The 14,714-nt window shown below is 40.3% G+C and overlaps 1 long non-coding RNA gene across 1 annotated transcript; it reads left to right on the forward strand.

Moving 5' to 3' along the window:
- Nucleotides 1-6,096: 6,096 nt before the first annotated feature.
- LOC124900798 (uncharacterized) lies at nucleotides 6,097-12,471 on the forward strand. The gene is made up of 2 exons (XR_007058327.1): nucleotides 6,097-7,112; nucleotides 7,222-12,471. It is a non-coding gene; the product is annotated as an uncharacterized LOC124900798 (long non-coding RNA).
- The last annotated feature ends 2,243 nt before the right edge of the window (nucleotides 12,472-14,714 follow it).

Genomic DNA, 14,714 nt, shown 5'->3' on the forward strand with positions numbered 1-14,714 from the left:
TTTGCACATCCTTGTAACACCTGGCAAAGTTCCCTACCCCATTTAATAGATAATTCTGAAATGAGTATATTTGTCCTCCAGTGGGACCCAGAAGATTAAGATAGCAAGAGGAGAGGAGCCAGCCTTGGATCCAGAAGATTAAGGATAAAGGAGGGGGGAATACCAGCATCTTTGCCTCTTGCTATTTATTTACCCCATTATTAGATTATTAGGGTATGGAGAGTTGCCACTGGGGTTTGGTTTTCAATTCTTCCCAGAAGTGCAGCTGCTGATTGACAAGACCTTAGAGAATAGGAAAACAGCATGAGCATCAGTTGGCACTAGCTGCCACAGTGATGTTATTCCCCAAAGCACCACTTTGAGGGGTGACTGACACACCCATCAGCTTTCACAGTCATGACAGAAGAAGACAAAAGAGCTCAATTCCCTGGGGTTCTGAACGCTTTAACGGCAGAAGTAGTTGAAATTTTCCACATCACTCTGACACTTGTCCAGTGTTCTCAAGTAGTTATAAGTTGGCCTTTCTATCATATTTGTTGTCAGTCTTCATTTTTTTTTTAAAGGAAAGAATGATTTAATGACCTTATCAGAATTACTGTAAAGATTTCTGGTGCAATTTTAAATTAAAATGCAAATTGTGTTTTTTAAATTATACTTTAAGTTCTGGAGTACATGTGCAGAATGTGCAGGTTTGTTACATAGGTATACATGTGCCATGGTGGTTTGCTGCACCCACCAACCCATCATCTACATTAGGTATTTCTCATAATGCTATCCCCCCAAGAGGCCCCAGTGTGTGATGTTCCCCTCCCTGTGTCCATGTGTTCTCATTGTTCAACACCCATGCATAAGTGAGAACATGCGATGTTTGGTTTTCTGTTCTTGTGCTAGTTTGCTGAGAATGATGGTTTCCAGATTCATCCATGTGCCCGCAAAGGACATGAACTCATCTTTTTTTATGGCTGCAAGTGTTCCATGGTGTATATATGCCACATTTTCTTTATCCAGTCTATCACTGATGGGCATTTGGGTTGGTTCCAAGTCGTTGCTATTGTGAACAGTGCTGCAGTAAACGGCACTGTTTACTGTGCGTGTGTCTTTATAGTAGAATGATTTGTAATCCTTTGGGTATATACCCAGTAATGGGATGGCTGGGTCAAATGGTATTCCGAGTTCTAGATCCTTGAGGAATTGCCACACTGTCTTCTACAATGGTTGAACTAATTTACACTCCCACCAACAATGTAAAAGTGTTCCTATTTCTCCACATCTTCTCCAGCATCTGTTGTTTCCTGACTTTTTAATGATCGCCATTCTAACTGGCATGAGATGGTATCTCACTGTGGTTTTGACTTGCATTTCTCTAATGACCAGTGATGATGAGCTTTCTTTCGTATGTTTGTTGGCTGCATAAATGTCTTCTTTTGAGAAGTATTTGTTCATATCCTTTGCCAACTTTTCAGTGGGGTTGTTTTTTTCTTGTAAATTTAAGTTCTTTGTAGATTCTGGATATTAGCTCTTTGTCAGATGGATAGATTACAAACATTTTCTCCCATTCTGTAGGTTGCCTGTTCACTCTGATGATTGTTTCTTTTGCTGTGGAGAAGCTCTTTAGTTTAATTAGATGCCATTTGTCAATTTTGGCTTTTGTTCTCATTGCTTTTGGTGTTTTGGTCATGAAATCTTTGCCCATGCCTATGGCCTGAATGGTATTGCCTGAATGGTATTGCCTGAATGGTATTGCCTAGGTTTTCTTCTAGGGTTTTTATGGTTTTAAGTCTTAGGTTTAAGTCTTTAATCCATCTTAATTTTTGTGTAAGGTATGAAGAAGGGATCCAGTTTCAGCTTTCTGCATATGGCTAGCCAGTTTTCCCAACACCATTTATTAAATAGGGAATCCTTTCCCCATTGCTTGCTTTTTTCAGGTTTGTCAAAGATAAGATGATTCTAGATGTCTGGTGGTATTTCTGAGGCCTCTGTTCTGTTCTGTTCAGATATCTATATATCTGTTTTGGTACCAGTACCATGCTGTTTTGGTTACTGTAGCTTTGTGGTACAGTTTGAAGACAGGTAGCATGATGCCTCCAGCTTTGTTCTTTTTGCTTAGGATTGTCTTGGCTATACAGGCTCTTTTTTGGTTCCATATGAAATTTAAAGTAGTTTTTTTCTAATTCTGTGAAGAAAGTCAATGGCAGGTTGATGGGGATAGCATTGAATCTATAAATTACTTTGGGCAGGATGGCCATTTTCACAATATTGATTTTTTCCCATCCATGAGCATGGAATGTTTTTCCATTTGTTTGTGTCCTTTTTTATTTCCTTGAGGCGTGGTTTGTAGTTCTCCTTGAAAAGGTCCTTCACATCCCTTGTAAGTTGTATTTCTAGGTATTTTATTATCTTTGTAGCAACTGTGAATGGGAGTTCACTCATGATTTGGCTCTTTGTTTGTTGCATATTTGTTTTGTATCCTCAGACTTTGCTGAAGTTGCTTATCGGCTTAAGGAGATTTTGGGCTGAAACGATGGGGTTTTCTAAATATACAATCATGTCATCTGCAAACAGTGACAATTTGACTTCCTCTTTTCCTATTTGATACCATTTATTTCTTTCCCTTGCCTGATTGCCCTGGCCAGAACTTCCACTACAGATGTTGAATAGGAGTGGCGAGAGAGGGCATCCTTGTCTTGTGCCAGTTTTCAAAGGGAATGCTTCCAGTTTTTGCCCATTCGGTATGATATTGGCTGTAGGTTTGTCATAAATAGCTCTCATTATTTTGAGATATGTTCCATCAATACCTAGTTTATTGAGAGTTTTTAGCATGAAGGGCTGTTGAATTTTGTCAAAGGCCTTTTCTGCATCTATTGAGATAATCATGTGGTTTTTGTCATTGGTTTGGTTTATGTGATGGATTACGTTTATTGATTTGCGTATGTTGAACCAGGCTTGCATCCTAGGGATGAAGCCGACTTGATCATGGTGGATAAGCTTTCTGATGTGGTGCTGGATTCAGTTTGCCAGTATTTTACTGAGGCTTTTCGCATCGATGTTCATCAGGGATGTTGTCCTGAAGTTTTCTTTTTTTGTTGTGTCTCTGCCAGGTTTTGGTAGCAGGATGATGGTGACCTCATAAAATGAGTTAGGGAGGATTCCCTCTTTTTCTGTTGTTTGGGACAGTTTCAGAAGGAATGATACCAGCTCCTCCTTGTACCTCTGGTAGAAATCGGCTGTGAATCTGTCTGGTCCTGGACTTTTTTTGGTTGTTAGGCTATTAATTGCTGCCTCAATTTCAGAACTTGTTATTGGTCTATTCAGGGATTTGACTTGTTCCTGGTTTAGTCTTGTCAGGGTGTATGTGTCCAGGAATTTGTCCATTTCTTCTAGATTTTCTAGTTTATTTGCATAGAGGTGTTTGTAGTATTCTCTGATGGTGGTTTGTATTTTTATGGGATCGGTGGTGATATTCCCTTTATCATTTTTTGTTGAATCTATGTGATTCTTCTCTCTTTTCTTCTTTATTTGTCTGGCTAATGGTCTATTTTGTTGACCTTTAAAAAAACCAGCTCCTGGATTCGTTGATTTTTTGAAAGGTATTTTGTGTCTCTATCTTTTTCAGTTCTGCTCTGATCTTAGTTATTTCTTCTCTTCTGCTAGCTTTTGAATTTGTTTGCTCTTCCTTCTTTATTCTTTTAATCTCTCAGCATTTACTTTTCTGTAAAGGATTTTTTTTCTTGATAGCGTCTCACTCTGTCACCCAGGCTGGAGTGCAGTGGCATGATCTTGGCTCACTGCAACCTCCGCCTCCTGGGTTCAAGCGATTCTCTTGCCTCAGCCTCCCAAGTAGCTGGGACTACAGGTGCGTGCCACCACACCACCACACCCAGCTAATTTTTTTTTTTGTATTTTTAGTAGAGATGGGATTTCACTGTGTTAGCCAGGATGATCTCTATCTCCTGACCTCGTGATCCGCCCACCTCAGCCTCCCAAAGTGCTGGGATTACAAGCATGAGCCACCCTGCCTGGCCTGTGAAGGATTTTATTTCTCCTTTGCTTATGAAGCTTAGTTTTGCTGGATATGAAATTCTGGCTTGAAAATCCGTTAAGAATGTTGAACACTGTCCCCTACTCTCTTCTGGCTTATAGGGTTTCTGCAGAGAGATCTGCTGTTATTCTGATGGGCTTCCCTTCATGGGTAACTTGCCCTTTCTCTCTGGCTCTCTTAAAATTTTTTCCTTCATTTCACCTTGGTGAATCTGACGATTATGTGTCTTGGGGTTGCTCTTCTCAAAGCGTATCTTTGTGGTGTTCTTTGTATTTTGTGAATATGAATGTTGGCCTGTCTTACTAAGTTGGGGAAGTTCTCCTGGATAATATCTTGAAGTGAGTTTTCCAACTTGGTTCCATTCTCCCCATCACTTTCAGTTACACCAATGAAATGTAGATTTGGTCTTTTTACATACTCCCATATTTCCTGGAGGCTTTGTTCATTCCTTTTCATTCCTTTTTCTCTAATCTTCTCTTCTTGTTATATTCCTTTGAGTTGATCTTCAGTCTCTGATATTTTTTCTTCTGCTTGATTGATTTGGCTATTGATACTTGTTTATGCTTCACAAAGTTCTCGTGTGGTGTTTTTCAGCTCCATCAGGTCATTTATGTTCTTCTCTAAACTGGTTATTATAGTTAGCAATTCGTCTAACCTTTTTTCAAGGTTCTAAGCTTCCTTGCATTGAGTTAGAACATGCTCCTTTAGCTTGGAGGAGTTGTTATTACCCACCTTCTGAAGCCTACTTCTGTCAATTCGTCACACTCATTCTCTGTCCAGATTTTTCCCTTGCTGGCGAGGAGTTGTGATCCTTTGGAGGAGAAGAGGTGTTCTGGTTTTTGGAATTTTCAGCCTTTTTGCGCTGGTTTCTCCCCATCTTCGTGGATTTATCTACAGGCGCGTGCACTTGGTCTTTCAAGTCGGTGACCTTTGGGTGGGGTTTTTGAGTGGACTTTCTTTTTGTTGATTTTGATACTATTCCTTTCTGTTAGTTAGTTTTCCTTCTACCAGTCAGGCCCCACTGCTGCAGGTCTGCTGGAGTTTGCTGGAGGTCCACTCCAGACCCTGTTTGCCTGGGTATCACCGCGGAGGCTGCAGAACAGCAAGGATTGCTGCCTCTTCCTTCCTCCAGAAGCTTCGTCCCAGAGGGGCACCCGCCAGATGCCAGCCAGAGCTCTCCTGTGTGAGATGTCTGTCGCCCCTACTAGGAGGTGCCTCCCAGTCAGGATACATGGGGTCAGGGACCCACTTAAGGAGGCAGTCTGTCCCTTATCAGAGCTTGAATGGTATGCTCAGAGATCTACTGCTCTATTCAGAACTGCCAGGCTGGGACGTTTAAGTCTGCTGATGCTGTACCCACAACCGCCCCTTCCCAGGTGCTCTGTCCCAGGGAGGTGGCGGTTTTATCTATAAGTCTCTGACTAGGGCTGCTGCCTTTTTTTCAGAGATGCCCTGCCCACAGAGGAGGAAATCTAGAGAGGCAGTCTGGCCGCAGTGGCCTTGCTGGGCTCTGGTGGGCTCCTCCCAGTTTGAACTTCCCGGCATCTTTGTTTACACTGTGAGGGGAAAACCACCTACTCAAGCCTCGGTAATGGCAGATGCCCCTCTGGGTGAGCTCAGACTGCTGTGCTGGCAGTGAGAATTTCAAGACAGTGGATCTTAGCTTGCTCGGTTTCGTGGGGGTGGGACCCGCCGAGCCAGACCTCTTGGCTCTCTGGCTTCAGCCCCCTTTTTCCAGTGGAGTGAACGGTTCTGTCTCGCTGGCATTCCAGGCGCCACTGGGGTATGAAAAATAATCTTCTGTGGCTAGCTCAGTGTCTGCCCAAATGGCCACCCAGTTTTTTGCAGGAAGCCCAGGGCCCTGGTCATGTAGGCACTGTAGGGAATCTCCTGGTCTGCGGGTTGGGAAGACCATGGGAAAAGTGCAGTGTCTGGGCCAGAGTGCATGGTACAGTCCCTAACGACTTCCCTTGGCTAGGAGAGGGAATTCCACGACCCCTAGCACTTCCTGGGTGAGGCAACGTCCCACCCTGCTTCAGCTCACCCTCTGTGTGCTGCACCCACTCTCCAATCAGTCCTGATGAGATGAACTGGGTACCTCATTTGGAAATGCAGAAATCACTGCCTTCTGCGTTGAGCTTGCTGGGAGATGCAGACCAGAGCTGTTCTTATTTGGCCATCTTGCCAGCACCCCTCCCCCCCCCACCTAATTCTTAATTTTCTTGTAAGGAGTCCTAAATTCAATTTTGACGTTTTACTTATTTTCAACTTCTATTGTAGAACAATTGAAACATATACAAAAATAGAGAGAGTAATATAATCAACACGTATTCATCACAAGCCTTGAAAATTAACATCCCATGGTCAGTCTTGTTCCATCTTGCCTTTCATTCCCTTCCTGTCCCAGCTCTGAATTATTTTGAAGCAAATTCCAGTAATCACATTATTTCATCCTTTACTTCTTTTAAAAATATGACAGAAGTTTTTGACAAAAGAATCTTGATGTGGGGAAATTTAATGATAACACTTTTAACATGACAGTTTTTAAAAATTATGACATTTGATTTATATTTTATTCAATTTTATGGAAAATAATTATGCAAAGTATCTTTTTATTATAAGAATCAATCCTGCATGTAGAAGTCCCGACTAATATCAAAGAACACAGTAATCAGTCTTGTCCATCTTGTTCAAACATTGAGAGCTAGCTAACAGGAATAAGATATATAAGGAATACAAATGTTGACCAGGTGTCTTAGCTAAAGAACATTTTCTACTCTGCTTATCTAACTCATGTATTTATATTTTCCCAATCCAATTTCTTAGCAACACATTTGCAGAATTTATTTGACTCCAGAATGGCTACTGGATTATTGAGATTTCCTGAAGTGAATAGTTTTGTAGAGCTTTGGATAAAATTAGAACAATAGAGTCATATGAAAGGGGGAAGAATATGTTGTTGGCAAAATTCACATTTCTTCTCATCTACTCTCTCCTGATATCAGACTTCCTCTTCCTGTGATGAAACTGAGGTTCGTTTTGACACTCCTAAGAAATTAAGAATGGAGGGCAGGTGAGGAAAGTAAAATAGAGACAGCTTAAAAGACATTGAAAGAGACTGTAATGCAACTCATTCAATGTCTTTATCTCTGTAGTTTATGATGTCTCTCATTGTCCGCTAGAAGGGATTTGTGCTCTCCTCCTGGTTGCTGTGATGAGACAGATGTGGAACATTTCATTTTCCTGGACTGTGTAGACTTCAGCTGTCATCTCTACTGAGTAAGTCAGCCTACAAGGCAACTCCGTTCAGGTCTTTTGTTATTTTTATTTTTTGTAATAGTGAGAAAAAAATGATGGATATAAGGAGAAACATGCATTTCTAAACCCCAATGAGGAGAGATTCTCAGGTAGAGGGCTACATGATGAGGGGAACCAGAAGTGGCCAGGCCGGAGGAAGGAGCCACACTGTTGGCTAAATCTGAGAGGGAGGTAAGCCAGTGGTCTGGGGGCTCCAAGAGTAGCAGAAATCTCTGCTGACTTCCTCCCCCTTATCTTCCTAGGGAGGTAGGACCCAAGGTGCTAGGTTCCCACCTCAGCAGAACCTCCACCCACCTTTCAGCCCTGAAGCCATCATGTGACTCGTACTAGGAAAGTCCACCTGTGATGATGATGACCAGTGAGGGCTAAACACCAGGGGTCTCCCAAATGTTCTCAGCCATATACGAATTTCAGGCTCTACACTGGACCTGGATGATGAGGGGTGATGGAGCCCCAATAATAACCACAGTTGATTTTTCCACACCCCGTTGATCAGATTAAATATAATTTAGAAAAATAACCAATGTGGCATTTTTTTAAACCTGAGATGTAAAATAAAATCCATGACAGCTGTACTGTATACTTTGCCTAATTTACTTTCTCAGAGGTTTGGAAGGAATGCTCAGAAATATTTAGAGGAGTTTCTTTCAGTGAGATTACTTATATTTATGATATTGAAGATGTCTTTTTTCAAAGTGTTACGTACTAAATTTCATCTCCCACAGCCCCCTTCCCAAATTCATGTATTGAAGCCCCCATCCCCATTGTGACTGTATTTGGAGACAGGGCCTTCAAAGAGGGAATTTAGGTTACAGAAGGCCCTAAGGGTAGAGCCCCAATTCAGTATGAACTGTCATTGTAAGAGGAGGAAGAAACACCAGAGATTCACTTGCCCAGAGAAAAGGCCATGTGAGGACAGAGTGAGAAGCTGGTCATTTGCAAGGAGAGAAGCGTTAGGAGAAACCAAACCTGCTGACACCTTGATCTTGGACTTCTAGCCCCTAGAACCGTGAGAAAATACATTTCTGTGGATTAAGCCACCCAGTCTGTGGTACTTTATTATGGCAACCCTAGCAGACTAAGACACAGTATTTAACACTTTCATGTATAGGTCTTTATTCTCTGAAAATCTATAATATTTTACTCTAGTAAAAATTCTCTTGCTGTGTGGAATTTATGGGCACTCTACTAGCTAAAATCATTCACTTTCTGAAAAGAGTGTTGCAAAGGGCTACAGAACATACTGGATACCATTGACCAAACTAATTAGAAAACTAATGCTGCTCAGTGACTAAAAATAACAGGGGAGTGGGTGCATATGCAGGATGGGGCCCCACTACTGGAAGTTAAAACAGCAAGTACCTTTCCCTGATACCATGGTAATGCAAGCATCATGGTAACCTTTGTTAAAATAAACGTGTTGGGCTCACGCCTGTAATCCCAGCACTTTGGGAGGCTGAGGTGGGTGGATCACTTGAGGTCAGGAGTTCGAGACCAGCCTGGCCAACATGGTGAAACCCCATCTCTACTAAAAATACAAAAATTAGCCAGGCATGGTGGTGCACATCTGTAATCCCAGCTATTCAGGATGCTGAGGCAGGAAAATCGCTTGAACCCAGGAGGCGGAGGTTGCAGTGAGCCGAGATCCTGCCACTGCACTCCAGCCTGGGTGACAGAGTGAGACTCTGTCTCCAGAAAAATAAAAATAAAATAAACAAAATAAAATAAAATAAAAGTGCTGAATACATGTTAGTTTACCAGGGAGATGATATTTAATTATAAAAGTTACTTTCTTACACCCATATACACCCCCGTTATAATTCTGCTTGAAATCTTTAAAGAATGAGAGTCAATCTGCTTTATATTCTAGAGGCCTCTAATATTGCTAGTTAAATTTCATATGCTGTCAAAAAATAAGGGAAAGCAAGAAAAACACAAAGACAAGGCATATATATTACTGAACTATAAGTTCCTAAAAATCGGGGATTTATTTTTTCCTTGAGATCATCAAACACACTGTTTTGCACATCATTGGCATTTATGATTGGTTTAATGCATTGTAACTCTGAGACATACAGCTTAGAAAAGAAAAGCATACAGCTAATATGACTGTAGAATAAAGACTAAATTTTGCCTACAGCATGAGAAATCAATTGTATCACTTTACAATCATACATTTTATATGTGTAAAAATATACGAGTAGATTTTAGTTTATTACAGTAATATGCTAACAAAAATCTAGATATTTCTAAATATCTAGACATTTCCAAATACCTATGGTATTAAATATTGTGAAGAACAGACATATTATTTGTCCCAGTTGGTCACTTTTTATGCAATTTCCTTTTTGTAAAAATATCTGATATATAAAATTGCCTCCTATGTTTAAGAACAAGTAAGAACAAACAAGAACAAAGATTAACAGTGTCCAAATTTTTTAAATAGATCAAGCTGGTAATGTGATAATTTCATTTGCAATTTATCATATGTTAGTCATTAAAACACACACACACACAAACATAAGTTTTACATACCAGACACACATAAGATTCTACCAAAAGTCAGTGAGAGTAGAACAAAAGTATGTGGTTCTATGTTGTTATGACTAAGTGCATGGAAAACTTTCCTTCATTAATCTACCACTCCACCTCTCTGACACACACCACAAAGTATCCACCGTGTGTTAAGGTATAATTGGAACATAAGGGAGGGAATAAAGAACCCGGGAGCCCGGGTGCATAGGAGTGACCTACCCTTGAGTGCCGCCACACAAGTCCAGTGTGTCTGTGTTGGCTGAGTTTTAGCTGTGCTCTCTGCGGGTTGTGCAACCTAATCATAATAACAATAATAACAACCAAAAGCATTTATTTTGTATAGACAAAACATATAATCTTGTGCTAGGTGGTTTAATTCATTATGTTTAATCCTAAGAAAAACTCAGGGCAAAAGAAAAGCAATGTCTAACTTGGTTTCTGCTCATAAGGAAAAGTCTAGCAATAGGGACTTCCTTAACCAGATGGTGTGAGGACTAGAATTGTCATGGTCATGGCTATCATGGATCAACTCAACCATTACCTAAGGTGACTTCCTTGAGGTGATTACATCAGAACTGGACCTTAAATGATGACTCTAAATTTGTTATGAGGAGAAATGCTGAGCACTTAGGACAGAGGGAACAGGTGTTGAAAAGGATGTAAGCATGATGTAGCATGACACATTCAGGGATACAGCATGAAATAACATGACACATTCAGGGGTATAGTATGAGATAGCATGACACATTCAGGGGTATAGTATGAGATAGCATGACACATTCAGCGATATAGCATGAGATAGCATGACACATTCAGGGATATAGCATGATGTTGCATGATGCATTTCAGGGATATAGCATGAGACGGCATGACACATTTCAGGGACATAGCGTGATGTAGAATGACACATTCAAGTATATGGCATGAGATAGCATGACACATTCAGGGTTATAGCATGGGACAGCATGACACATTCAGGGATATAGCATGAGATAGCATGACACAATCAGGGATATAGCATGATGTAGCATGACACATTCAGGGATATAGCATGAGACAGCATGACACATTTCAGGGACATAGCATGATGTAGAATGACACATTCAAGTATGTGGCATGAGATAACATGACACATTCAGGGATATAGCATGAGACAGCATGACACAATCAGGGATATAGCATGATGTAGCATGACACATTCAGGGATATAGCATAAGATAGCATGACACATTCAGGGATATAGCATGATGTTGCATGATGCATTTCAGGGATATAGCATGAGACAGCATGACACATTCCAGGGACATAGCATGATGTAGAATGACACATTCAAGTATATGGCATGAGATAGCATGACACATTCAGGGTTATAGCATGGGACAGCATGACACATTCAGGGATATAGCATGAGATAGCATGACACAATCAGGGATATAGCATGATGTAGAATGACACATTCAAGTATGTGGCATGGGATAGCATGACACATTCAGGGATATAGCATGATGTTACATGACACATTCAGGGATATAGCATGAGACAGCATGACACATTTCAGGGACATAGCATGATGTAGAATGACACATTCAAGTATGTGGCATGAGATAGCATGACACATTCAGGGATGTAGCATGGGACAGCATGACACATTCAGGGATATAGCATGAGACAGCATGACATTTCACGGACATAGCATGATGTAGAATGACACATTCAAGTATGTGGCATGGGATAGCATGACACATTCAGGGATATAGCATGATGTTACATGACACATTTCAGGGATATAGCATGAGATAGCATGACACATTCAGGGATATAGCATGGGATAGCATGACACATTCAGGGATATAGCATGATGTAGAATGACACATTCAGGGATATAGCATGGGATAGCATGACACATTCAGGGATATAGCATAAGATAGCATGACACACTCAGGGATATAGCATGAGATAGCATGACACATTTGAGGGACATAGCATGATGTGGAATGACACATTCAAGGATATAGCATTAGATAGCATGACACATTCAGGGATATAGCATAAGATAGCATGACACATTCAGGGATATAGCATGATGTTGCATGACATTTCAGGGATATAGTGTGAGATAGCATGACACATTCAGGGTTATAGCATGAGATAGCATTACACAATCAGGGACGAATTCAAGCAAGCCTCAGAGTTTGTCAGATTCCCAGTATATCTCTTTGTTTTTGAAAAGAGAAAACAAAATAAACACCTCACTAATGTAGTATGTTTTTTAAAAAATTTAATCCTTTCTCTCACCTGTTTGATGTGGTATTATCTTTCTCTGAGGCCTCCAGACGTTCTGGTTTGTAGGGCTGTTGGTGGGCAAACTCTTCTGTTCTGTCCCAGAAAGCCCTAGTTAAGGTTTTTATAAATCTGGTATTCTTATTTGAAAGTCTCTTACAGTCTACATTAAAAAAAATCAATATTTATACATAAAAAATAAACACAATTAGAGATACTTTTTATTCCTCTATATAGTTAATTTATTTTCATTCTGTAATTTGCACAAGTACTAAAGGATAATAAACTTTGGTCCCCAATCAGCTTTCTCATTTTTAACACAACAAGCAAAATGAAATGATAATTTGACTTCTGAGGAAGAAAGAAAACTGTTTTGTGGTTATGTGTATGGATTACTGGTTTTGTTTTCTAAATCCAACAGAGATAGTAGCATCCAGATTTAAACTCTTTAATATTAGCACACTAGCTGGATGTGGTGGCTCATTCCTGTAATTCCAGCACTTTGAGATACCAAGGTGGGTGGATCGCTTGAGCTCAGGAGTTCGAGACCAGCCTGGGCAACATGGTAAAACCCCATCTCTAAAAGAAAAAAAAATTAACCAGGTGTGGTGGCATGTGCCTGTGGTCCCAGCTACTCAGGAGGCTGCTGTGGGAGGATTGCTTGAGCCTGCAAGGTCGATGCTCCAGTGAGCTGAGATCACACCACTGCACTCCAGCCTGGGTGAGAGAGTGACAGCCTGTCTCAAAAATAAAAAAAATAAATAAATAAAAATAATATTAGTACACCATAAATAATGATGTGCATTTAATAAAGAATGTGATGACTCAAAGTTAAAACCAATAATTTTATTATTCTATATTAGAGAAATGCTCACCTTTATCCTAACTTTCCATATGAACAAGCCTCAATAACTGCAATTTTTACGTGAAGCCATACTGTTCCCAAAGCAAGTATAGGTTGGCAAAAGGCTGAAGAGAGAAGAGTGGAGACTTGTTTCTTCTGCATGCAATGTGAGCATATCTACTGGTCTTAGACTGAAGCAGTGGGGTGCAGCTGCAGCAACTTTGCAGTATTTCGCTTCTTGGAAGAGCAGGTTTTTAGGGCACATGTCCCAGTAAGGAGTGGCTGGTTCAGTTAATTGCATGGGTGAGGTTTTGCCCACAGGATACTTTGTTTTTGACTCATTCTCCTTGGTCTTTAGCATCTTTCTCATCCCCAGAAGGCTCTGCCTGGAAAGAAGGTTACTGTAGGAACCACAGTGGACTGTACTTCCACAGTTCTGTTTCACAAAGAGCGTCAAGGTCAGTTTCTAGCTATGAAGTATAGAAGCTGACCTCCAAACCAAGAGGAAGTACTAGCTTTATAATTTGTCCAGGAAACTCTAATCTTAATATTTCAAAGATGTACGTGCTTGATAACCTTTTAAACATCAACTAGGTCAATGATGTGTTTAGTGGTAACTACTTTGCATGTTTCTACAATGCAATGTGCTTTAAAAATTACTGAATCAATGGAAAGAAAAGATTACTATCATTTAAGGAGAATTTCATATTGTGCATCAGAATTCAAGACTGATTTGGCCCACAGGGAAAGGTCAACATATGTCCTGATTTCCCTAATAAAGTCTTGAAATGTAGCAAGACTATTAGTTTAAATAGACTTTCAGGTAAATACAGTTACCTAGGTTATGCTCCAAAAATTGTGTTTAGTTTTCTTGGCTTAATCAATTTCTCTGCTTCTACAGTTTATTTGTGGCTCCAACTGTACAAGCTGGAGAATGTATAAGTTATGCTATGGGTTTTTGCTGGGGAAACCAAGTCATTTCCAGAGTCACAACATGGCCTGAGTGATATGGATTCAACAGATACAAGCTACAAAGCACTTTTTGTGTTGTATATAACCATGTGATGCATTTATTGCAGAACTTCCCAGAGGCTTTTGGTCCTAACATGCTGAAAATTGTCTTGCATAGTAAACTGGAGTAAATGGAATAGGGTACACATAGTGACAGAGCCAGGGGCTCCAGCTTCCCCTTGCTCCTACCCAGAAGTCTGAAGGCTAAGAGTGTCAACATCTTGGGACACTTATAATCTATTCATAGGTACATGGTTGATTTATTTCAAGCTACTTCAGTAGATCATCTGCAGGCCACTAATTGGCCAAGTACTTATCACCTGCAGTCAATCACCATGTTAGAATTGAAGAGGACCTAAGAAAACCTTTGGAGTGACCATTGAATTCACAGATCAGACAACTAAGGGAGAAAGCAGTAACATGATAGAGTAGGGAAGGGAGGGACTTTGGAAAGATAACTACTGTTTCATACATCTATAATCTTAGTCATGCTCTAAGCCACTCAAAGTCTCCATGTCCTCACCTATAAAATAGAGATAATTATACCTATCTTGCTATAATATTTTAAGATTAGAGATAATGTATGTGAGTTGCATACCTAGTACAGTAATGGGATACATAATTAATTGCTAATTTGCTAAGTGACTTTCCCCATGTATAGAGTGAGAGTTCGAGCCTCAGTTAAAA

The sequence above is a fragment of the Homo sapiens genome, chromosome 4 (assembly GCF_000001405.40).
Source record: "Homo sapiens chromosome 4, GRCh38.p14 Primary Assembly".
NCBI classification, from domain to species: domain Eukaryota; kingdom Metazoa; phylum Chordata; class Mammalia; order Primates; family Hominidae; genus Homo; species Homo sapiens.